Raw genomic sequence first — 24,963 nt, forward strand, 5'->3', positions numbered from 1 at the left:
CAGAAGGTAAATGAGGAGCAAAGTCACGTCTTACATGGTGGCAGGCAAGAGAGCTTGTGTAGGGGAACTCCCCTTAATAAAACCATCAGATCTTGTGAGACTTACTACCATGAGAACAGTATGGGGGAAACCTCTCTCATGATTCAGTGATCTCCACCTGTCCCCGCCCTTGACACATGGGGATTATTACAATTCAAGGGGAGATTTGGGTGGGGACAAATCAAGTCACCCACCCAGAAGTTCCTTCATTTGAGAAGGGATCAAAAAGGGACCCTTTGTCTATGCCCCAGTGAGGTCACTGAGCCTGGCCTCTCCCCTCTTTCCTTTTCCAACGTAAAGTTTTCATCCTGATCCCATGAGCGGTGCACATCGCTCTGGAAGATTCTTCTCTGGGCTTGTCTTGCACGCAGGGCTGCAGTGGAGCATGGTGGTTACTGGGGCCCACACTGGGCTCCTAGGCAGCCAGTGAAGCAGGTGTCCAGAGACACTGATGACAGGGAGTGCCCAGCTGCAGGACTCTGTGCGAATGTGATGGGAGCTCAGGAGAGGGACTTGCCCCCGGCATAGAGGTGGGCAATGGCACAGGTCTCCATTTCAGACAGACCCTGGGGCAGAGAGAGAGGAGAAACTGGCAAAGACAGGGCTGGAGGTGGCCGGCAGTGGGCAGCCGGCAGGGGGCGGGGCAGCCAGAAGGCAGTGATGCTGCAGTGGGGCCCGTGGGAACAGAGGAAAGGTCACATGTGAAATGGTCAGCATTGTCTACTGGGCAGCTAGTTGTCCTGAGGATGTTAGAAAGAACAGCTTCGTGAAGTGCCAAAGGCAGAAGAGAGGTTGCATGGATTTGGGGGGTGGGAGAGGGGAAGGGAAGTCAGTGAGCATCTGCCTCTCCGTCAGTGACACTGCAGTGAAGGGAGAGAACATGACCTCGATAGAAGGATGCTCAAGGCCAGGCAGGAATGGTGGGCCTTAGCCTTGACCCCAGGCTGGATGCCCCCTTCCTCAAGACAGGCTGTGGGGCTCGGGGAAGATGAGGATGGAGACAAGCCCTTTGGAAGGTGGGCTGTGGCCACAGAAGCTAAGCCACAAGCCCAGGTGTGGCTTTCAGGCTTAAAGCCAGAGAGCCAGGTGGTGGGGACCCAGATGCCCCCTGAACTCTAGACCCCTCTGGCCAGTTGCTTACTAAATGTTAACCCCCTCTTGCATGAATGAAGGGGTCTTGAATCTAGCACGCTCTGAACCAGACTCTCCCCCCGCCGCCCTCCGCCCTCCACCACAGTAGCAGCCCCATCCTCCCCAGCAGTGCAAGGAAGAAACCCAAGAGTCCTTGACTTTGACCCTCCCCTTACCCCCAGAGCCAACCCATCACCACATTCTGCCAATTTGACCGCTAAACCCCTCCAACCCCTGCACTCTCTCTGTCTCCATCCCCACACCTGGTCCCAGCCACATCACCTCTGTCCTGGACTTCTGCTATGCCCTCCTAACCGACTCTCTTGCTTCCGGGATGGTGGCCCGCCACTCTCTCCTGCCTGGCCGTCAGAGCGAGCTTTTCACCCTCGCACCGCATCATGTCACTTTCCTGCTTGAGACCTTCGGAGGTTTCCTTCATTTGCCAGGCAGACTCCGTGCATGGTCGCCCTGTGTGGTTCAGCCCCAGCTTGCTTCTCCTGCCTTGTCTCCTAGCCACATGGCCCACACACACAGCGCTGCATCCCTCCCTGTGCTCAGTCCACAGCCTTCGGGCTTGCTGTGCTCTCTCTGCCTGTGGGGGCTGTGCACATGCTGCTCCCTCTTCCAGAGTGTTTTCCCTGCTCCTCTTTGCTGAACCTAAGTGTCTTCAGATCCCAGAGCAAGATCACCTCCCCATGGGCACCTGCTGTTCCCTGACCTCTGCCATCCAGTCTTATCCTATCGATCCTATCTGCCTACCACGTTCTACATCCTGGGGCCTGTCCCATTTGCAGCTGTTTATTTGTTTTGGGGTTGTTTGATTAACATCTCTCCCTCTGGGCTGTGAGTTCCAGAAGAGTGGGCTCTGAGTCCCTTTTGCTCCTCACAATATTCCCAGAGGCCACACGATGCCTGGCATGTAGGTGCTCAATAAATATTTGCTCAATAAACAAATGAAAAGATCAAGTGGGCCCTGATCAGAGTCTCAGAAAATGGATAGGTCTGGGATAAGCAACCGGAATAGGTAGAACATTCCAGGTGGGATACCTGGCTGGATTAAAGGCAGGGGGATACCTGCAGCCTAGCACACATATGACGTTATCATCACCAAATGGCCGTGCCTTACGGCAGGGAGGGACCTCTTATGGTCACCTGCACTGAGGGTGGTCACCCCAGCCAGAGTCCAGGGGATGCAGAATTCACTGTTAGACTTCCTGCCTCGTGCTTTGCATGTCACTCATGAGGACCTCAAATAACAATGCAAACTTAGGTGCATGGAGAGCCCAATGTGTGTACCCTAGGTGGCCCCTAAGCCAACTTGCCGATGCCCTGGTCCACGCTGACCTGACACCTGCCCCACTGCGAGTGTGTGTCGGAAGGGGCCAGAACTATAGTGGGAAAGGGGCCCTTCTTTCATCTCGATTCCTTTTCTGTGTTATTTCCTCTGTCCTGAAGACACATGGTGAGCGTTTTAAACATTTGTTGAAATATTTAATGGTTAGGATTTAAATAGGAACCCTAATGGGCAAACAGCATTCAATTTTCTATGATCCATTTGTTTCCTCTAAACTGCAGTGATACTTCTCTAATTAAATGACAGCTATTACCAGATGATCCAACTTGTCTCCCGAGGAACCTAGAAAGTGGAGTGGGGCTAGTTCAGGAAAGGGAAGGGCCCAGGCCTCACAGGGAAAGTCCATTCGGAGCCAGAGGACCTTCCAGTCGTCCTCCGCACCACATGGCAGGGGGTGGAGCTGGATGGGGAGAGGGAGTGGTGGAGAGGTTTCAGATTGTGAGCAAACCAGGGTGTGGCCCAGGGCTCGTGTCCCCTAGGGCTGTCATCAACCCGTGTCCCGGGCACTGAGTGCAAGCAGTGGCCTCTTTGTTCCTTTTGATTCCAGTTCGTTTTCTCCTAGGAGACAAAGGAGCTGAATTAAGTTGCAAAAACTTCCCTCTTGGGGTAACCGTGCAGTGATTTTACAACTTTACCATTTTCTCTACCTCTTTTTCCTGTCAAAGGCAGAGACTGTATCTATAAAAGTGGGGTGCATTTCTCATCTGAGGAGGACACCTATCGTGTGTGCCCGACGGACTCCTTTTTCTGAAAAAGAGAACCCCCCAGGACTTTGGGGGTCGAGGTGGGGAGGTTATCATTTTAAATTGGCTTATCAAAGCCATTAGAGAGCCCAGGGCCAGTTTTATTAAAGTCTTTTGAAAAATAATGTTAATTTATAGGAAAATGTCAAATCCAGCTAGGAGGTCTCCTCTGCAATGACAAAGTAATGTTGGCGTTTTGGAAGAAAACTGACGGAGAGGGTGGCAGGGAACTGGATTCGTCTGCTTGGCTGCTCTAACAAGCACCACAAAATGGGTAGAAATTTAACTTTTCACAGTTCTGGAGGCCAGGTTCAGGGCTTACGGATGCATCACTATGATCTCTGCCTTCATCTTCACACAGTGTTCTCCTGTGTGTGTATCTGTGTCCCAATTTCCCTGTTCTTTTCTCTCCTCCCTCCCTCATTTTTCTCTCTTTTCTCTCTTTTCTTTCTTTCTCTTTCTTTTCTTTTTCTTTTTGCTTTATTCTTTTCTTTTTCTTTCTTTCTTCCTCTCTTTCTTCTTTCTTCCCTTTTTCCTTCCCTCCCTCCCTCCTTTCTCTCTCTCTCTTTTTCTGCCTTCCCTCTCCTCTCCCCTCGCTTCCTCCTCCTCTCCCCTCCCCTCCCCTCCTTCCTTTTTCTTTCTCGGTTTCCAGACCAAGCTGGAGTGCAGTGACACAATCATATTTCATTTCAGCCTTGACCTCCCTGGCTCAGGTGATCCTCCCACCTCAGCCTCTCTAGTAGCTGGGACTACAGGCATGCACCATTATGCCTGGCTAATTTTTTGTAGAGAGGGGGTTTCAACATGTTGCCCGGCTGGTCTTGAACTCCTGAGCTTAAGGCATTTGCTCATCTCAGACTCCCAAGGGGCTGGGATTACAGATGTGAGTCACCATGCCTGGCCCAAATTTCCACATTTTTAAAGGACACCAGTCATACTGCATTAGGGCTCAACCTAATAGCCTCATTTAAACTTGATTACCTCTGTAAAGATTCTCTCTCCAAATAAGGTGAAATTCTGAGGTCCTGGGGTTAGACTTTAACCTATGAATTTTAGGAGAATACAGTTCAACCCACACAGGGATGAAACATTTAAAGGCAAATATTAAAATATTCACTTTGTGTCTTATTTCAAAATCTATATAACTTTAAAAAATATAGTTCAGAATCAGATCCAGCAATCTGTGCTATTAGAAATCAGAAGTGTAGTTACTTGGCCGGGCTCAGTGCTCATGCCTGTAATCCCAGAACTTTGGGAGGCCAAGATGGGTGGATCACTTGAGGTCAGGAGTTCAAGGCCAGCCTGGCCAACATGGTGAAACCCCGTCTCTACTAAAAATGCAAAAATTAGCTGGGTGTGGTGGTGCACGCCTGTAATCCCAGCTACTCAGGTGGCTGAGGCAGGAGAATCGCTTGAACCTGGGAAGCAGAGGTTGCAGTGAGCCAAGGTCGTGCTACTGCACTCTAACCTGTGTGACAGAGCGAGACTCGGTCTCAAAAAAAAAAAAAAAAAAAAGCCTGGTTACTTTGGGGGACAGAATGCCTGGCAGAGGACATGGGGATGGCAGGGAGGACCTTCCAGATGCTGGCTGTGTTCTGTTTTTTGATCCAAGTGCCATTTCTGTGGGTGTCTTTGCTGTTTGAGAAAACATTGAGCTGCTGACTTATCATTAGAGCACTCCTCCATACGGCATCTTAGATTTTAATAAAAAGTTTACCTAGAAAATCTATTCAGCACACGAGTTAGGACATCTGCTGTCTACTTCCATGGCAATTTCAGGATTTGCTTTCTGTCTATGAAAACCGAAACGAATAATTCTCAACCAGAGCTGCAGGGCCGTAGGGGAAGCATTTAGGGAATAAATAGCAGGTGCAGATTCTCGAATTGTTGAAGGATGTTCCTTTTCACAGGCCTCTCTGGACACCTGGACACGAGATCTTGAATTCCATGCCGTGCAGGTAAGAACTTGGGGGATTATTATGTTAGTCAGGGTTCTCCAGAGAAACAGAACCAATAGAGTATGGAGAGAGAGAGAGATTGAGACTGAGATTTATTTTAAGGAGTTGGCTCACACAGTTTTGTGGGGGTTGGCTGGAAGTCTGAAATCTGCAGGGCAGACCAGCAGGTTGGTTGAATTGATGTTGCAGCTTCAAGTCTGAAGGCCATCTAGAGGCAGAATTTCTTTTGCCAGAAGACCTCATTCTTTTTTTTTTTTTAAAGCCGTTGACTGATTGGATGAGACCCACCCACATTATGGAGGATAATCTACTTGAAGTCTACTAATTTAAATGTTAATCACTTTATTTATTTATTTATTTATTTATTTATTTATTTATTTATTGAGTCTCGCTCTGTCGCCCAGGCTGGAGTGCAATGTTGTGATCTTGGCTCACTGCAACCTCCACCTGCCAGGTTCAAGCAATTCTCCGGCCTCAGCCTCCCGAGTAGCTGGGATTACAGGTGCCCGCCATCACGCCTGGCTAGCTTTTGTATTTTTAGTAGAGATAGAGTTTCACCATGTTGACCAGGCTGATCTTGAACTCCTGACCTCAAGCCATCCACCTGCCTCAGCCTCCCAAAGTGCTAGGATTATAGGTGTGAGCCACTGTGCCTGGCCTGTTAATCACATCTTTAAAACCACCTTCACAGAACCATCTAGACTGGTGTTTGGCCAAACAACTGGGTACCATGGCCTAGGCAAGTTGACATATGAAATTAACCATCACATATGATCCTAAGGGTTGGTCAGTCTCTGCCCAGGGCAGCAGGCTCTGCCAGCCCCATCCTTATCCAGAATTAAAACATGCAGAATCCTGTTGTGAGTGAGTTTATCAGAATCCCTTTAGATCACATTGGTTCTTGCTATGCGGAATTGGCTGTTTTTTATTGTCTTGTTACAACTCTACACCTGCCTGTGCATTTCTGTTACCACCTGTATGAGAAATGGAGTTTGCAGCTATCTAGAGCTTCCTGGCTCAATGGCCTAATTTATGAACAAAACCCCACCTTTTTTTTTTGAGGTGGAGTCTTGCTGTGTCACCCAGGCTGGAGTGCAGTGGGTGTGATCTTGGCTAACTATAAACTCTGCCTTCCAAGCTCAAATGATTCTCCTGTCTCAACCTCTCAAGTACCTGGGACTACAGACGCTCTCCACCATGCCAGGCTAATTTTTGTATTTTTAGTAGAGACAGGATTTCACCATCTTGGCCAGGCTGGTCTCAAACTCCTGACCTCAAGTGATCTGCCTGCCTCGGCCTCCCAAAGTGCTGGGATTACAAGCATGAGCCACTGCGCCCGGCCCAAAGCCCTCTTTTTATCCACTCACTTGTAGGTTTTTCTGCAGCAAAACCAGGTTTCTTCTTATGTGATGGGTGACAAGGAACCAAAACCAACCAGCCAACGACATCTGGGCCCTGGGCCATCCCAGGTGGCAGCAGTCAGCACTTGGTTCTGACAGACCAAACAGCCTGGTGAGGCTTATTAATCATCAGAGGGAAGGAAAGCTCCAGAAAAGCCCATGTCGAACTGGACTTGATAGAGTTACTCAAAGAAAACTTACCTCAGCTCCCAGGGCTCCTCTGCCACATGTGGAAACAGGCAGATTTCCCAGGCAGCCATCCATCCTCCGGCCTGGGGTGATGAGGATGCAAAGCAAGCATCCGTCCCTGTTAAATGGATGCATTTGCTGTTCAGGCGATAAAGCAAGTGTGATGTGTGTTCATTGTTATCCTCCCAGAGCTGGGAAGGATCCACACTTTTGGTTACACGTGGGAAAACACCTCCCTCGAGGAGAAGTGAATTGCCCAAGGTTACCCAACACATTATGGAGAGAGCGAGGAATGGACTCCAGACTTCCGGACTGCCGAGCTGTGACCATGGCTGGGATCCTCAGGTGGAGCACCTGTGGCAGCCATGCCGGGAAAGAAGGGGGCGCTATGGGTCTTTGGAACACAGAAGCCTGGGGTCATTCTTCATTGGCCATCATACCCCCAGTTGCACAGCCATCAGGGAAGACTCTGAAGGGAACCAGCTCTCTGGAGCTCAGACCTCAGAGGCTAAGGATGGGTTTCCCCCTCCTGTAGGCATCTCCGTCTCCTCCACAGGACAATATACAACATTAAGGATCCTGGGTAAATGATTGTTCATGGGGCTGCGTTTTCAAAATGTCCCACTTTGCAAATGTCCGTGCACATCCGCAGTGGGTGGAAATAGTTGATAGAGAACAAGAAGGTGTTTAGTGTATGGCTTGCCTCTGGGGCCTCATGTGGTCTTTTCTCTGATCTGCCTTGGGGGATTTGGAACTGTGCCATGAAGGTGCGAGAGGGCGGGCTTCGAACCGAGAGCTTGAATTCCATCGCCCACCCTCAAGTCTATGTGGGTGCTGGAGCGCATCGGAGGGAAGCCAGGAGTCTCTGCAGGCGGCAGCCTTGCCGTGTGAGGAGCTTGCATGTGGAAGGGGGAGGTGATAGTCCCTCTGAAGATCTGTTTCTGTTATGTAAGGCAATTTAGCATCCTGCTCCCTAGGAAATTTCTTTTGGAGAAAACAGGCCATGCAAATGAAAAAGTCTAATTGGGTGATTGGCTGCATTTGGTAACATGTGCTTGGAGGGCAGGGAGATTGGCTAGTTGTAAATAAACATGCTTTCTCTGGGCGGTTGACCCTTCTGCGTGGACTGACTCTGAGGTTTGTCCCCGACAGGGAGCAGGTGGGGTGAATTTCTTGATTTCTCCTTAGACACCAGTTACTATGAAATCACTGATTCTTTTCAGCTGGAGAAGGATATGCTAGGGGTTCTTGGAGGACATACCAGGGTGCAGGATGTTGGGATGAAGTTTAATAAGGGTGGTCTTGGCAGGGTTTCCTGGAATTTTCTGTCTGGGGGTGCATTTTTCCTTTTTTCTGCCCCCATAGCAGCTTTCTGCTCATTGCCAAATAGCCCCCTTGTCAGTGACGGGAGAAATTTGGTCTTACAGGCCAACCTTGGTCTCTTTGCACAGCAAACCCCCACGCATTACACACCACTAGGTACCCATAGACCCTAACTGGGTGGCGATACTGGTCCGCAGAAGTTTTGCATCTTGATTGTTAAGCTTTTGAGAACCCAAGGAGGGTTAGAAAGGAATGAAAATAAACCTAGACAGCCACCGGCAGCTCTCAAGGCTGTGGGCCACAGAGCAGCCTGAAAAAAATGTTTGCTGATCGATTTAAAAAGCAATCCTAAAACAGAAGGAACTGCCGTGTTGTCTTTTCTACCAAATATTGTTTGGAAATGTATGACAAAGGTGCATTTGATTACTTTTTCCTGTAGAAGGTGTTAGCAGGTAGAGCTGGTGACTTTAGCATAAAAGTAGAGAAAGGGAACCAAGTAAAAGGAGATTGTGCCAGATTTTTCAGGAAAGCCGGTAACATTGCCTTTGCTGCTGGATGGGTGTGTGTCTCTGTGTGTGTAAGCGTGTGTGCAAAAGCTTGTTCTCCTTTGCCTTGGAGAAGGTGGCCTGTTGGTGTGTCATGCACACAAAGGGAGAGGAAAGCCGTGGAAAATAGTGATTGTCCTTTGCTGGCTTCAACCAAGGTGACCTGGAGGACACGTTCCCCTTCATGGCATCCCAGATAACGTCCTGGAGCACATAACCTTCTCTGGAACATTCAGATCCCACTGCAGGAGCCTAGGACTGTGGCATGCTCCTGCCTCTGGGCCTTTCCATCTCTGGAACCGCCTGACCCTGCTGCAGGCTCTGAGAGTGTGGTGTCAAGTCAAGGGTTGACAACATCAACTTCAGGGCCGGGAAAATCCGCGTTTCCACCGGGCTCATGGGTGGATGACATAAGCACTGCAGGCTGTTTCTTCACATGTAAAGGAGGTAGCAGAATTTGCCTTGTGGTGGGTCATGCCCTCAGTGCAGTGTCTGGCACCCTGCATATTCTCAAAAAAGGCTGGTGGCAGCTGTGAAGGTGCTGAGGAGGGAGTTTGAGGAAGCTTTGCCTCTCCTGTCTTCCCATGTCACCCCTTTGTTAGGGAGGAGCCACATCAGCTACAGGCCAGGGCCCTAGAGAGCTGTAGCCCCTCACAGTGGCACTTGCCACGAGGCTCAGCATCCCCACTTCCCACATCTACCCTGTCGTCTTTCCCACTCAAAAACTGGACATCATGAACTCTTATCTGCAGACTTTGAACATCCTTATTAGAAAGGGCTGCAAAAGTGTAGAGAGATATTTCCCTGAGAAGCTTCTCAACAACATGAATGAAAAAATAGACGAGCTCTCTTGGTTTGCAAATGCTCTTAAAGTTGAGGGCAAAAATGTGAAAAAGAAGAGTCTTTTTTTCCTCCTCACCCACGGTGAGGTCAGAGGTGGAGTTGCTTTAATAGTAAACACCAAACACAGGCTTTAGGGCTGGAAAAAGAACTGCTGCTGCTTCTTAGTGACATCACCCTTCCCAGAAGCTTGAACTGAGTTAATTTTAGTTCAGTTCAGTTTCTACCAGCCCTTTTAAAAAACATTTTAATAACTATTTATTAAGCTTTCTGTAAGCATCTGGCTTTATGCCAGAGGCTGTGGACTTGAAGATACATAAAATAGTCAAATTCATTCCTATCAGATGGATTATATTCTAGTACAACGAAGGCAAGATTTAAACCAAAAGAATGGCCACTGCCAAGCGTTTTGGCTCACATCTATAGTCCCAGCATTTTGGGAAGCAGAGACAGGAGGGTTGCTTGAGGCAGGAGTTCAAAACCAGCCTGGATAACATAACGAGACCCCATCTCTACAAGAAATCTTTTTTTAAAAAATAGCTGGGCATGGTGATGCACACCTGTAGTCCCAGCTACTCAGGAGGCTGAGGTGGGAGGATCACTTGAGCCCAGGAGCTCGAGGTTGCAGTGAGATATGATGACACCACTGCACCCCAGCCTGGGTGATAGCACAAGACCCTGCCTCAAAAAAAAAAAAAAAAAAAAAAAGCTTCATACACACGTTCATACACACGAGTACTAAGTACGCAAGTAAGTGCTCACACGATTAGGGTAGAAAGGGCTGGAAGCCCATCAGGACCGCTCAGGGCTCTCTGGATTTGTTGTATATGTTGTGTTGGCACCTCCTTGGCTTGACTGCCCCAAATAGAACCTGATGTGAAGGTGGAAGCAGTTATGTTTCCAGTTGCCTTTGCAAAGCCGTTATTGCAGGCACAATCTTTAAATGTAGACAGTGGGTTTCCAGAAGTCCTGCTCTGCTTCACCTTGGTTTGTTGGGCTTGTTCCAGAAGAATTGACCTCCTAGGAATGCCCTGCCCTTGCTGGAATGCCTTGGAAGAGCACAGTGAAAGGGAACTGGGGTCCATTGAAGGCCTCTCGCTGCCCAGGCAGAGGGAGATGGGCTTCCTGGAGCATTGGCTGGGCCACAGCTCCTCCCTCATTCAACACACAGTTGAGAGCATAGAGTATTGAAAAGGTGGAGTTTCTCTAATCAGTTTGGATGACTTTTCAAAGAGGAATCCCATTGTGTCTTCTAGTATGTGTCTAAGTGCATATGTTTGCTTCTGATTTGTAGGATAAAAAGCCCAAAGAACAAGAAAAAAGAGGGGATTTTCTTCATCGACCATTCTCCAAGAAGTTGGACAAGAACCTGCCCTCGCACAAACAGCCCTCAGGCTCGCTTATGACACAGATTCAGAACACCAAAGCCCTCCTGAAGGACCGGAAGGCCTCCAAGTCCAGCTTCCCCGACAAAGGTGGGTCAGCTCTGGGGACTCTCTCAGGCCACTCGTGTTGGGCTGTGTGTCCGCTGTGTAGCCCTCACAGGGGATGGTCGAATGGGCCCTAGAGCAGAGATGATTCCTGTGCCCACAGAAAAGCAGGATTAATGGACCTGAGGTTGCCTGAGCACAGTCCAGGACCAAGCTGTGTGGCATTAGCCATCTGTGCAGGAAGAATTTGAGAAAACAGAGATGGGGTGCAAAGTATTACGGAAACAGAAATTGGGGTGGATGATATTGTCAGAACAGAGGTTGGGAGGCACAGTATTGCAGGAGCAGAGATCAGGGTGTGTGGTACTGCAGGGGCAGAGATGAGGCTGTAAGGAATTGTGGGAGTAGAGATGGGGTGCAGAGCAGAGACCGGGTATCTCCCTGAGTTCAAATCCCAGCTCTACTGCCTGCAGAGGTCCAAGTTCCTTTAGTGCTGAGGATCTTCACTGGATTATTTGTAAGGCCTCCCACCTGTTGGAGCTGTTGGGTAGATGAGATGAGATGCATATATAAGCTCCCTCACCTGAGTCAGAATCCAGCCCATCACAGATAACTGACAAATATGTTTCCCTCCTCTGGGACGAGTGCTAAAAGATGCAAAAGGCAGACCTTACTGGGCACAGGCTTAACACATGGTAGAAACGCCAAGAGGGGACACAGGAGCTGAGGGCGTCCTGAAGCAGAGCCATGAAGTAGAGGAGAGGTTCTTATTACTGAGGGGGATGAGACACTTCTTGGAGTTCAATCTCCTAAAATATGAAAGACCAGGTTCAGAGAGGGCCGTGGCTGTCTGAGATACACTCAGGTGTAGCGGGCAGTTAGTCCCTGAGCGGGACTTGAACCTGCCTCCTGTCCTTCTATCTCCCATGCTGCTCCCGGAGAGAAGCCACTGTACCCACTTTGCCCAAAGCAACCTGCTTTCCCTGGGGCAGAGCATGCAGTGGATCGGGGAGGGGCAGCAGTGTCCATGTGGCAGCTGGAACACTGGAGACCTTGGCCATTAATGAAGTTTTACTTCTTTCTGCTGATGCATCTCAGGTGCCTGCGCCGGCCTTTCATTTCGGTGCCTGTGTGTTTATTTCTGCAAGGCAGGGAGGCTTCCCAGTGCCCTCAGCCACTCCCAAAATCGATCCCAGTGGGCAGGAGCTTGCTCCTGCAGCTGGGCCTCCACAGAGCCTATAAAACGTTATGGGAGAAGAAAGAAGCTAAGACAGAGCTTATTCCGCATGAACTTGGCTTTATTTCCCTCATCCCCAAATCTGTAGGGGGTTTCCCCTTTCTTTTCTGGCCCAGTTTCCAAACCTGGATTCTAGTCTATGCCAACCAGAGACAGAAACCATGGGGATCTGGCAGGTTGCCTTAACTGTATGGATGGATGATATTCTTCCCCCGTTCAGAATTGGATGAGGTTCCATCCAGATCAAAAGTCACGAGGGAGCCTTAAAAGGGAAGGAAATCCTGGCACATGCTCCAACACAGATGAACCTGGAGGACATTATGCTAAGTGAATTACGCCAGTCCCTAAAGGCGGATACTGTGTGATTCCACTTATATGAGGTCCCTAGAGTGGTTAGATTCATAGAGACAGGCAGTAAAATGGTGGTTGCTGGGGGTTTCAGAGAATGGGGATGTATATGGGGTGTTAGATTTGCAACAGGAAGACAGTTCTGGAGATTGATTCTACAACAGTGTGAATATACTTATTATTGCTGAACTGTACACTTAAAAATGGTTAAGATGATAACATTTCTGCTACGTGTTTTTTACCACAATAAATAAATTTTTTAAATGTCACAAGGGAAACATGTCTTCCACTGTGGGCTGTCCAAGGACCAGATTGGCAGGAATTCAGTCAAGGGACCTTGGTGTGCTTCTGGGAGTTTTATGGATGTGCTGTTGAGTGCATGTACCTTTTTTATTCCAAGATCCTTTGGCAAGGTCCAGAATTTTTTTTTCTTTTTTTTCTTTTTTTGAGACAGAGTCTCACTCTGTCACCCAGGCTGCAGTGCAGTAGTGCCATCACGGCTCACTGCAGCCTCCACTTCCCAGGCTCAGGTGATCCTCCCACCTCAGCCTCCCAAGTAGTTAGGACCACAGGTGCATGCCACCACACCCTGCTAATTTTTTAAAATTTTTTTAGAGACGGGGTCTTGCCATATTGCTCACGCTGGTCTTGAATTCCTGGGCTCAAGCAGTCCTCCCACCTTGGCCTCCCAAAGTGCTGGGATCACAGGCGTGAGCCACCGCTGCCTAGGGTCCAGAATTTTAAGCAACCAAAAGCAGGGACGATGTTAGGCTGGGGCCATGAGGCAAATTGGAATCCAGGAGACGTCCTGTCGCCAGCCCTCTGTCCCTCCATCCTAGGAAGACTGCCCGACCTCTGTGGGGAGAGTGACATGCTGCTGGTGACTTTTGCAAAGTAGCCAAGGCTGTTTGCCGGTTGGTTTCTTCTGACCTTGGCGGGAACTGTCTCAGTTAAGCTGGAGGTCACAGCAGGCAGGAGAAGGGCCGTGAGCACTGTCCGGACGTCCTCATGATTGTTTATGCTTTCTTGGTGTGCAGATTCCTTTGGCTGCCGCAATATTTTCCGCAAAACCTCAGATTCCAATTGTGTGGCTTCTTCTTCCATGGAGTTCATCCCCGTGCCACCGCCCAGGACCCCGAGGATTGTGAAGAAACCGGAGCCCCATCAGCCAGGGCCCGGAAGCACTGGCATCCCCCACAAGGAAGACCCCCTGATGCTGGACATGGTGCGCTCCTTCGAGTCTGTGGATCGCGACGACCACGTAGAAGTGCTGTCTCCCTCTCATCACTACAGGATTCTGAACTCCCCGGTCAGCTTGGCTCGCAGAAATTCCAGCGAGAGGACGCTGTCCCCGGGTCTGCCATCCGGAAGCATGTCGCCTCTCCATACTCCTTTGCATCCAACTCTGGTCTCTTTTGCTCACGAAGATAAGAACAGCCCCCCAAAAGAGGAGGGCCTGTGTTGCCCACCTCCGGTTCCCAGCAATGGCCCCATGCAGCCTCTGGGGAGCCCCAATTGTGTGAAAAGCCGAGGCCGGTTCCCTATGATGGGCATCGGACAGATGTTAAGGAAGCGCCATCAGAGTCTGCAGCCATCTGCAGATAGGCCCCTGGAGGCCAGCCTGCCCCCACTGCAGCCCCTAGCCCCTGTGAACCTTGCCTTTGACATGGCCGATGGGGTCAAGACCCAGTGCTAACTTGGGCCAGCGGGGTTTGGGGTATCTCTAGAAAACAGCAACTGAACAGAGCTCCACACATCTGTCAGGGTGTGAGCACTCCAAGGCCTCGCGTGGAGCATCCTTAGTCCCACCTGTAGCTGAATCCACAGACCCAAAGCCTGCACAACCCAACCTCGCTTAGGGACCCCCAGAGATGCTGGAATCGCTAGGAGGGTTGGCTCCAGGGGCAGCCAATTCCTATCATTCAGATCTTCCTTCCTCCCAAGTACTCACCAACCCCTTCCACTTCCCACTTCCCCCAGGCTTGGGGGGAAAACAGGGCATGAGCCTTCTGGGGCACTCAGATTATGGACTGTTACCAGATCTTTCTTCACGCTGTGCTACATGTGTGCCTCTCACAGCAGTTGGCCACAGTTACAGGGAGAGAACAATATCACAGTCATTCATCCAGGCCACGTTTCCTCTGCGGAGTGTAGCAGCCCTGCCTTTCATAGCAGGGATTACCTGAAGGCCAGCAGGAGCCGGGGGCAGGCCCAGGATCCTCAGAGGAAGATGGAGAGGAGCTTCGGACCAAGATCAAACCAAACAGTGGGGACCCCAACAGAAGAGAAAGACTGAAGGAGACACTCATTTCCCAAGCAAGATTTTGATAGATTTTTGTTGTTGTTGTTGTTGAAACATGCTAATGATTGAATTATCTTTTCCAAAGATTTTTTTTAAATGTGATGTCGGTAAATTGAAATAACATAATTTTTTAAAACTTGGATGGAGAGATGAGAAGCAATTCCACCAAACTCATGTTTTCACAGGAGGGTTCAGTGTGGAGAGCAAAAAAGCTGACTGTGGTGATTTGCTGAGTGCTGTGGCCCACAGGCAGGGCAAGTCTCGGTGGCCCTGTGTTCATCCTGTTGTTTAAGGCATAGCCCTGATCCTTCTGGAAGGCATAGAACACGGTTACAGCTGGTTCTGTAGAAAGAGGGAAAAGATGATTGTGACAATTCAGAGCATAACTCAGATGGCGAGAAGGCAGCATTATCTCTGTGCGATGCTGATTTCAAGCTGCCCACAGAACTGGTGCGGCTCAGAGCTCGGCGAGTTTGCTGGGAGCTGGGAGCAGGCTTGCCTGGCAGAGAACCTGTTCAGATACAGGCCAGTTTCTTCTTCGAGGAAAGCCAAGCTCCTCAAACAGGGTTCAGTCCACGTTGTGTTTTCACACCTTTCTCCAAGGATCGAACCAAAGATGTGTCTCCAGTATTGTGTCTGTGCCCCTGTGTGTGTTTTGTGGACAGCCGTGTTGTCTGACTGTATCCAGCTGGCACTTGACAGGGTGCAGTCATTGGTGAGAAGAATCAGAAAAAGAAGACCCATCAGCACAGGTTGGATAGGGGTTAGTGTAGGAGACCAGTTACAGAATGGCCTGGAGTCTTCAACTTTTGACCGGTGCAGGTGTGACCAGAGACCACCTCTGTGGCCACCTCAGATAGTCATCTCAGTCCAAGGATCCCAAAACACAAATCTAGAATTGCAAAGCCAGCCTTTATTTCCCTGGCAGGCAGCCTTGCCAGAAGGCAGAGAGGCAGTTCTGAATCATTCTCTCATTCACCAGTGGTGACATCCTTCAGTCCCTCACATCTCTGACAGAGCGGGACAGAATGGATATTTGGCTGACCTTGGTGAGACCTGGAGCTGCCTGTTTCTTCCCTAGGGGATCACCACGGCTCTAGGGCATTCTAGGATGAGGTCAGACCCCTTGGCCATTGGTGTTATTTTTTGTATAGCTTCAGACTGGGTTCCAGAACTTACCATTGAAAACAGAGCTTTTAGGCCAGGTGTGGTGGCTCACACCTGTAATCCCAGCACTTTGGGAGGCCGAGGCAGGTGGATCGCTTGAGCTCAGGAGTTCGAGAGCAGCCTGGGCAACATGGTGAAAGCCCGTCTCTACCGAAAAATACAAAAAAAAATAGCTGGGTGTGGTGGTACGTGCCTGTAGTCCCAGCTACTTCGGGGACTGAGGTGGGAGGATCACTTGAACCTAGGAGGTCGAGGCTGCAGTGAGCCAAGATCATGCTACTGCACTCCAGCTTAGGTGGCAAAGTGAGACCCTGTCTCCAAAAAAAGAAAATAGAGCTTTATAAGCAGAGAGAAGAAAATAATCATCTAAGACCATCTCTCCATTCGACATGAAGTGTACCTTTTCTAAAGACGGTTTCCAGCTGCAACGGCTCCACTTTGCAGGCTTGCAGGGTGTATACCTGCGCATTGGGAACTTGCTGGAACCCCTGATGCATTTTCCTTGAGAGCAGGGGTACTTCCGCCTTGCCGTTAGCTTGTGGAGAACGTGCTTCTTATTCCTGGCAGGCTTCAAGAACAGCTGCACATGTGCCGCTAACTGACCGCGTTGCCATTGGCGACCTGGACTCTGAACTCAGGTTTATTCTAAACCCAGTGAGAGGTGAGGGGGAGTGATGAAAGGGGATCAGCTGTATTTGTGTGTGTGTGTGTGTGTGAGCACCTGACAAATCTATGAAACCGAGTGAAAGGAGAAATGTTAGATTCTTTATTATTTTATTATATTTATATGGAAAGCTCGACTCTCCCTTTGGTAAGTCCGAAGCATGTTGTCTGTTCGACCGTGACTGTCTTCCTCAGTCTGTGCCTGTGATTCCAGTCACCCTGTAGTTACTGACAGAAATTGACTGGACTGTCATTGTGTGAAGTCTAGGAGGAAATGTCCATTTTAATTGTATGATTTGGTCATAAGTAAGGACTATATTTATGTCACCATTATTAGATATATGTACTTTTGTAATGACTGTGAAATACACTTTTCCCTCACTACGACTGCTTCTTTATTTGCTGATAAATCTTAAAACAACTAAGTACGTTGCAAATAATAGTACAGGTACCATCTTTTATGTGAAGTTCTTTTTCTTTTTTTGAGACAGGGTCTTGCTCTGTCACCCAGGCTGGAGTGCAGTGGCACAATCACAGTTCACTGCAGCCTCAACCTCTCCAGATTCAAGTGATCCTCCCATCTCAGCCTCCCAAGTAGCTGGGACTACAGTTGTGCACCACAATGCCTAGCTAATTTTTTTTGTATTTTGTAGAAATGGGGTTTCGCCATGTTGCTCAGGCTGATCTCAAACTCCTGGGCTCCAACGATCTGCCCACCTTGGCCTCCCAAAGTGCTGAGATTACAGGCGTGAGCCACTGTGCCTGGCCTTATGTAAAGCTCTTGACCTAGCATCTGACTGGAAACAAGCGGGAATTGCATTGGGGGGCATTTTCTGGGCCAGTTTCCCTGCCTTATTTTACCTGCAATAGGTGTGCCTACAAAAGTCTTTCTGACATACACACTGCAGGTGGCAGTTCAAGAAGAATCAACCTTTTTCATTTGGGGATATTAGGATCTTCCTTGGAGACTCTGAAAATGGCACACAAAGAATGGCAGTTATGAACGTGACTTCTAGATTTTGTCCTTGTAGGAGGCCTTGGTCATGGATAGGGGAAGAGGGATGATGGGATGGAATGGGAGGGTGGGATCTAGATGACCTCTTGAAATTGTCCCAGTTACTGCTTCCTTCATAACTGTTCACAAAACGTTTTTCATATATACCACCTTGTTTCCCCTGGGAAGTGAGGGGACGAAGCCTTAGAGGGTGACATAGCTAGAAAGTGGAGAAGCTCACTGTTCACTGTGCAAAGCCCCAGTAGTCGGATTCCGGGGAAAAGAACAAGTATCTAGTTTTGATGACAATGTTTTCTTGTAAGAATCCCAACACTTTAGAATAGAAAAGGACCTAAGATTCTCTGGCTCAGCCCCAGCCTTTCTGAAGAAGGGAAAACTAGGGACCCAGATGGTTTAAGGACACCCCAGAGTCCCCAGATGAGCTGGCATTTGAGCTGGTCTGGAGCAGAGTTTCTCCCTCAAAGAACACAGAGAAATCAGAGAGTGGCTGCCATGGTCAGAGGGGGATGTCAACAACAGATCAAGCCGTCATCACAACAGGTATTTCTGAAGTTCCTGCAGGGACTAGGTCTTGCATTTTTAAGTCCTTTTCAAAACTGTGCAGCTTCCTGAACCTTATGCTGTTTGTCCCATCCACTCTTGAAGCTGGGGAAAGACAGCTTTCTTTGGGAACTCTGTCTTTCTCAGTTGACTTCCCAAGTAAGCAGCAAACCCCTGGATAGCCTTGTTATCTACTTTAGGTATTAAGAGGCTATTGGGTTTTACTAGATTAAATCAATAAAACATTTCCTATAGAGCCATATCATACACTGAAGCAAATTCAGAAAGAATGCAAAACTGCTATCTTTTGGGGGAGTCTGGAAGCCTGTTGGTTAGTGTATTTATTTTCTTTGTGGGGTCTTCTGTGAGCTACAGGCACAGTAAGAATAATTCAGAGCGGTACTGGGAGTTGGTTCAATTTCATGTCATCACTTTTCAATGAAGGGAGTGCATTTCCTGAGTAGTAAATGAGTATATTATTTGTGGCAGCTTTTCTGTTAAGGGAGCTTTCCAGACATCTGGTTGCAAAGACAAATAGGATATATATTTGTACTTCTTCTCTGTGGACATGTTTTTGTGACACACAGTTATCTCTAGGAGTTGACGTCTGTGGGCACTAAGGGACTGAGGTTGGGGGAGAAAGCTGAGGAGGCTTTGGAAGAGAAGGTGAGGAGCATTTCAGGATTTGCAGTCCCCCTCCACATGTATCCACATCTGAGCTGGTGGTGTTCCAATAATGAGGCATTTGGGGCAACCAATTTTGGAAGGATAGAATAGCTTTATGTGGAGCAAACTTGAGGATCAATTGGAGTTGAGTGGTTTAAAACTTAAAGATGGCACAGGAAGCTGTATCATTTACAGGTGAAAAAAATAAATGGGTCTGACTTCAGGGCCTCAGCTCTTTGTATTTCCTACTTGGAAGATGGGCTATTAGCAATTTTGAAAGCAAAGGCTTTGGTTTACATTTAAACTCTATAATTTTTTTTAAAAATGTGTTCTTTCTAGTCTTGTTACCATAGCCAGCTGGAAAGGGCAAATTGCAAGCCTATATTGGGAACAAGTCTTCTTGCCGAAAGTAGGGCAGTGAAGTTCTTGGCAGATCTGAGATGAGAATGCCTTCCCCTGACTCCTTCATCAGTGTTCAGTGCTCACCTCCTCTGGCAACCAGTATGCTAGAAGATTAGGCTTTGCTATGATCACAAATTAATTCCAAATCTCTGTGACTTGCCCAATAAAGGTTTATTTCTTAAAATATTTTTATGAGGCTGGGCTGACCACAAAACGGCTGTCTTCCATATGGTGACTCAGGGATCCAGGCTACATCCAACTTGTGGCTGTGTCCCCTCAAAATGAAACGTCTTTGGCTGCTCCAGCACAGGAAGGCACGGCTGGAGAGTTTTCCACCAGCCCTTAAACATTCTATGAGGGGACTCATCACTTCTCCCACAGCCCATTGACTGGAACTGGTCACACTGCCTTGTCTGTGAGCAAGAGGCTGGGAAATACAGGAGCATAGGGCTACTTGGGATGCAGCTAATGTTTCTCCCATCTTAGGGAAGGTACAGCTGCCTGCCATTTATTTGTTCTTTGTTTTTGTTTTTGCTTTTGTTTTGAGATGGAGTCTCCCTCTGTCACCCAGGCTGGAATGCAGTGGCGCAATCTCGGTTCACTGCAACCTCCACCTCCTGGGTTCAAGCGATTCTTGTGCCTCAGCCTCCTGAGTAGCTGAGACTATAGGCACATGCCACCATGCCCAGCTAATGTTTGTATTTTTAGTAGAGACGAGGGTTTCACCGTGTTGGCCAGGCCGGTCTTGGACTCCTGACCTCAAGTGATATGCCCGCCTTGGACTCCCAAAGTTCCAGGATTACAGGCATGAGCCACCGTGCCTGGCCGAGATGCCTACCATTTAAAGGTACCCCAAAACTGGACTAGCCTTTTCCCATTGTCACACAATTATAGCACCTCTTAGTAAAGAGTTACTTTTTTAAAATAAAAGAATTAGCATTGGTAAATGTTAATATTTAAGGAGAGTGTTTTGGGCTGAATTCTTTCCTCCACAAATTCATATGTTGAAACCCTCAGCCCCAGTACCTCAGAATGTGACTACTTAGAGATAGGGCATTTAAAGAGGTGAGTAAGTTAAAATGAAGCCTTTAGGGAGGAACCTAATCAAATCTGACAAGTGCCCTTATAAAAATGTGAGGTCTGGGCTGGGCGTGGTGGCTCATGCCTGTAATCCCAGCACTTTGAGAGGCTGAGGTGGGCGGATCATGAGGTCAGGTGTTTGAGACCAGCCTGGCCAACATAGTGGAACCCCGTCTCTACTAAAAATACAAAAAATTAGCTGGGCGTGGTGGCAGGTGCCTGTAATCCCAGCTACTTGGGAGGCTGAGGCAGGAGAATCGCTTGAAGCTGGGAGGCAGAGGTTGCAGTGAGCCAAGATCGCGCCACTGGCACTCCAGCCTGGGCGACAGTGCGAGACTCCATCTCAAAAAAAACAAAAAAACAAAAACAAAAAAAAATGTGAGATATGGATACACAATGGGACACCAGACGGAGGAAAGACCAGGTGAGGACACAGAGAAGGCAGCCTCAGGAGTGAAGCTTCAAGACGAACCAGCTCTGCTAAAACCTTGATCTCAGACTTCCATCCTCCAGAACTGGGAGGATATAAATGTCTGTTGCTTAGATCCCGGTGAGGTATTTCATTACAGTAGCCCAGGCCGACTAACACGGGGAAAAGGTCAGATAGTAAAATTTACATCTTCTAGGAATCTCATATGTTTTGCCCCATATGCCAAATTTCCATTTATCCTTTTCTGACTAAATCACTCCCAGAAAATTTCTCTTTTTTGGAGTGAAATTCCACCCTCTCCTCTCCTCTCCTTTTCTTTTCTTTCCTTTTCGAAGCAGAGTCTCACTCTGTCACCCAGGCTGGAGTGCAGTGGCGCGATCTCGGCTCACTGCAACCTCTGCCTCCTGGGTTCAAGCAATTCTGCTTCAATCTCCTGAGTAGCTGGAACTACAGGCATCCGCCGCCACACCCAGCTAATTTTTTGTATTTTAGTAGAGACGGGGTTTCACCATGTTGCCTAGGCTGGTCTTGAACTCCTGAGCTCAGGCAATCCGCCTGCCTTGGTCTCTCAAAGTGCTAGGATTACAGGCGTGAGCCTCTGTGCCCAGCCTGAAATTCCACCTTTTCTAAGTGTTTCTTGTGCTTTAAGCTCAGTGTGCCAATTATTTTCAAGTTTCTTTCTTCCTTTAATCCAGAGGTCTGCAAACTTTTTCTGTTAAGGACCAGAAAATAAATATTTTAGGCTTAGGAGATGACTGTTGCATATTAGTCTGTTGCGTATTACTCTGCATTGTTTTTAAGTTTAGTTTAGTTTTTGTTTTTGCTATAACCCTTTGAAAATATGAAAACTGTTCTTATCTGGTGGACCTACAAAAACAGGCCATAGCAGATTTTGGCCCTCAGGTAGTTATTTTGCTAACCCCTGATTTAATCTTCACAAAAACTCCGTGAAGTGTCATATTTTCTCTATTTTATAGATTAGTTTTGTGGGTTTTATAGATTGTTTTTGTTTTTAGTTTTTGTTTGTTTTTTGAGACAGAGTCTCACTCTGTTACTTATGCTGGAGTACAGTGGTACAATCATGGCTCACTGCAGCCTCGACCTCCTGGGCTCAAGTGATCCTCTCACTTCAGCCTCCCAAGTAGTTGGGACTACAGGCACATGCCACCATGCTAGGCTAATTTTTTAAGTTTTTTGTAGAGATGGGGTCTCACTATATTGCCCAGGCTGGTTTCCAACTCCTGGGCTCAAGCAATCCTCCTGCCTCAGCCTCCCAAATTGCTGGGAATACAGGCGTGAGCCATCATGCCCAGTTGACACAATCAGGACTTCTGCAATCACACACCACAACTTTCATGTTAGGAACTCACCACTTGAAAGACAGAGAGGGCTCCTTTTGTGACATCTGGGCCAGTGGGCTCTCAGAAGGGCCTGTGGCTAATGGTAACAAATTTGTTAAGAGTTTTGCAAAATGATTCAATCTAAGGGAACTTGGAGGTGGGGAGAGACCCTGGCTCTTTTCTTTGCCACTCCTTCCTTCGTTGCTTTTTGTAGATTTCCAGGGTTGGTTGCCAGCCACAGGAATGGCAGTGCTACAGGAGAGCCATCCTGGTCTCGAGTCTGTCATTACTATTTGTTCCCCACCTTTAGATTCAATCCTGTCTTCATCTGTGCAGAATGGAACATGGCCCTAGTCCCCAAGCTGTTTTCCATTCAAGCTGTTTCCCTTTTCTCTTTTGTGAATAGCCTCTCAAAAATGGGCTCTTAATTGCTTATAAAAAGACAGAGCTTACTCAAAGTCTCAGGAAACAAGTCTAAATCTGGAGCAGATGTGAAGCTGGATGATGCTTGTAGACAGATCATTACCATTACTCACAACTGGGTGACGTGCGGGCCATTGGGATGGACGAGTGTCCCCGCCAGTGAAAGATGAATCATGTCATCTGAGTCAGAGAATTTCAAAGAGCCATTCAGAGTCCTTACCACCCAGAGCCCCTTGAATTATCTGAGCCATTCTCACGTTCAAAGCATTAGGCCAACTCAGAGAATCACAGGAACAATGGTGGTCACCCAGCCTTGGGCTTAGATCTCCAGAAGTTTGAATGAAGAAATTTTGGATTTTCAGATTCTCAGGCTAAGCACAATGCAACTTGTTGGAGCATCCTTTTCACAACTCACTGCTACTTTTTTTTTTTTTTTTTTGAGACAGAGTATCCCTCTGTCACCCAGGCTGGAGTGCAGTGGCGCGATCTTGGCTCACTGCAACCTCCACTTCCCAGGTTCAAGCGATTCTTGTGCCTCAGCCTCTCAAGTAGCTGGGACTACAGGTGTGCACCACCATGCCCAGCTAATTTTTGTATTTTTAGTAGAGATAGGGTTTCACCATGTTGGCCAGGCTCCTGACCTCAGGTGATCTGCCCACAGCCTCCCAAAGTGTTGGGATTATAGGTGTGAGCTAACCCACCCAGCCTCACTACTACTTTTAAAACAAAACAAAACAAAACAAAGCATTTTTACCTAAAACTAATATATTATGTATCCCAGATACAAAATCAGTTGAATTTTGTCAGTACAATCCTTATTGTCCTCTAAGCATTCAGGGAATCATTTTAATAAGCAGGTGATGCAATTGAGACCAGAATGGAGAAATGATGCATTGAAGAACTCACAACTTGTCAGTTACAGCCTCTGCCTTCAAGCTCAGTTCTCCTCCCAGGAACCTGGACAAAGAACCCAGAATTAAAAGAGGATCTGGGGTGCTTGGGGTGTCATGATGTCTGAGGTCTACTCAGTCCCTTTTGCAAAATTTTGCACAACAGAAAGGGTGGACATGGTGATGGCCATAGTAGGAAGAAGGAAATTGATTTGTGAGGAGTGTTTGAATGAAGAGGGTGTATGTGAGTGCTCTTTTCACCTTCCTAAGCTTGGTTTGTCTTGCCCTCCTCTGAGTACTCCTAGCAGCAATGATTACGTGTAATAATTGTTACATTACTGTTTCTCCCAGGGCTCTGGGACACTGTCTTACATATCTTTTTAACTATACCCAGTGATCCAACCACGTGGATGAATGAGTAGATGATGGATGGATGGATGGATGGTGAATGGGTGAATGGGTAGATGCATGTATAGATGGATGGGTAGATGGTGAATAGATGAATGGCAGGATGGATAGACAATGAATGGATGGATGGGTAGGTGAATGGATAGATGGTTAGATGGCTGGATGGAAGGATAGATGAGTAGATGATAGATGGTTGGTGGGATGAATGGGTAGATGATGGATGAATGGGTAGGTGATGAATGGATGGATGGGTGGGCAAATGAATGGATGGATGGATGGATGAATTGAGTTGATAATAAATGTTAAGGGGAGTTAGATGAACCAGATTAGTGGATTTCTGGGAGGGCAGTTCAAGGAAAGGAAAATACTTCCTTAATCCACAGTGTAAACTCTCAAATACACAATAAACAAAAAAATAGAGGGCCTGGAAAACAAATAGAGCTCTAACTTTGGGTACAAATAGCCTTTACAGCATTGCCTCCTCCTACCATGGATCCACTCACTCACCACCCTGAAAGCAAGGAATCACAAACCCCGGTTGCACGGTGAGGCCATTGCCCCTGTTGTCAAACGCATGTGTGTCTATTTGATTGTTTTCTTTTGGTGACCTTACAGGGATTTGGCAAGGAGATAAGGTGACTATCAAATAAGCCAGAACAGGTACCCTGCCACTCTCTCCACCCACACAGCTGTTTATGAGGCCAGTGTACTGAGGCCCAAACTGCTCTGTAAAGTCAAAGTAAATCCTGACTGAAGTACTGTGTTAGCCTCACTTTCATGCCTTGTCAGCCCAAGCTTCCAGCTGTGTTGTGCAAAACCATCTCAAAGCTATAGTTGGTTAATTAGGCATTTTCACAGGAGATGGGTAGCTAATCAAGATGATGTTCACACAGCTATGTCTCACCCCAGCTAACCTGCTCACTTCTCCACTGCTATGGGCTGAATTATGCCCCCCAAATTCATGTGGAAGCCTGTCCCCCAGTACTTCAGAATGTGTCTGCATTTGGAGCTAGGGCTTTTAAAGAGGTGATTAAGTGATTAAGGTGGGCCCTAATCCAGTGTGACTGGTGTCCTTATAAGAAGGGGAAATTGGGACACAC

The 24,963-nt window shown here is 47.9% G+C and overlaps 1 protein-coding gene across 2 annotated transcripts in view; it reads left to right on the top strand.

Moving 5' to 3' along the window:
- HUNK (hormonally up-regulated Neu-associated kinase) overlaps positions 1-19,113 on the top strand; it is a 131,045-nt gene extending 111,932 nt beyond the window's left edge. The window contains exons 9-11 of one of the 2 annotated variants that reach the window (NM_014586.2): positions 5,178-5,225; positions 10,817-10,997; positions 13,575-19,113. In NM_014586.2, the coding sequence (NP_055401.1) occupies positions 5,178-5,225; positions 10,817-10,997; positions 13,575-14,233 (888 nt within the window). In that variant the 3' untranslated portion in view covers positions 14,234-19,113. The remainder of the gene's footprint in view (positions 1-5,177; positions 5,226-10,816; positions 10,998-13,574) is intronic. The other variant, XM_011529537.3, reaches the window with a different exon arrangement.
- Positions 19,114-24,963: the final 5,850 nt, after the last annotated feature.

The sequence above is a fragment of the Homo sapiens genome, chromosome 21, assembly GCF_000001405.40.
Source record: "Homo sapiens chromosome 21, GRCh38.p14 Primary Assembly".
Lineage (NCBI taxonomy): Eukaryota > Metazoa > Chordata > Mammalia > Primates > Hominidae > Homo > Homo sapiens.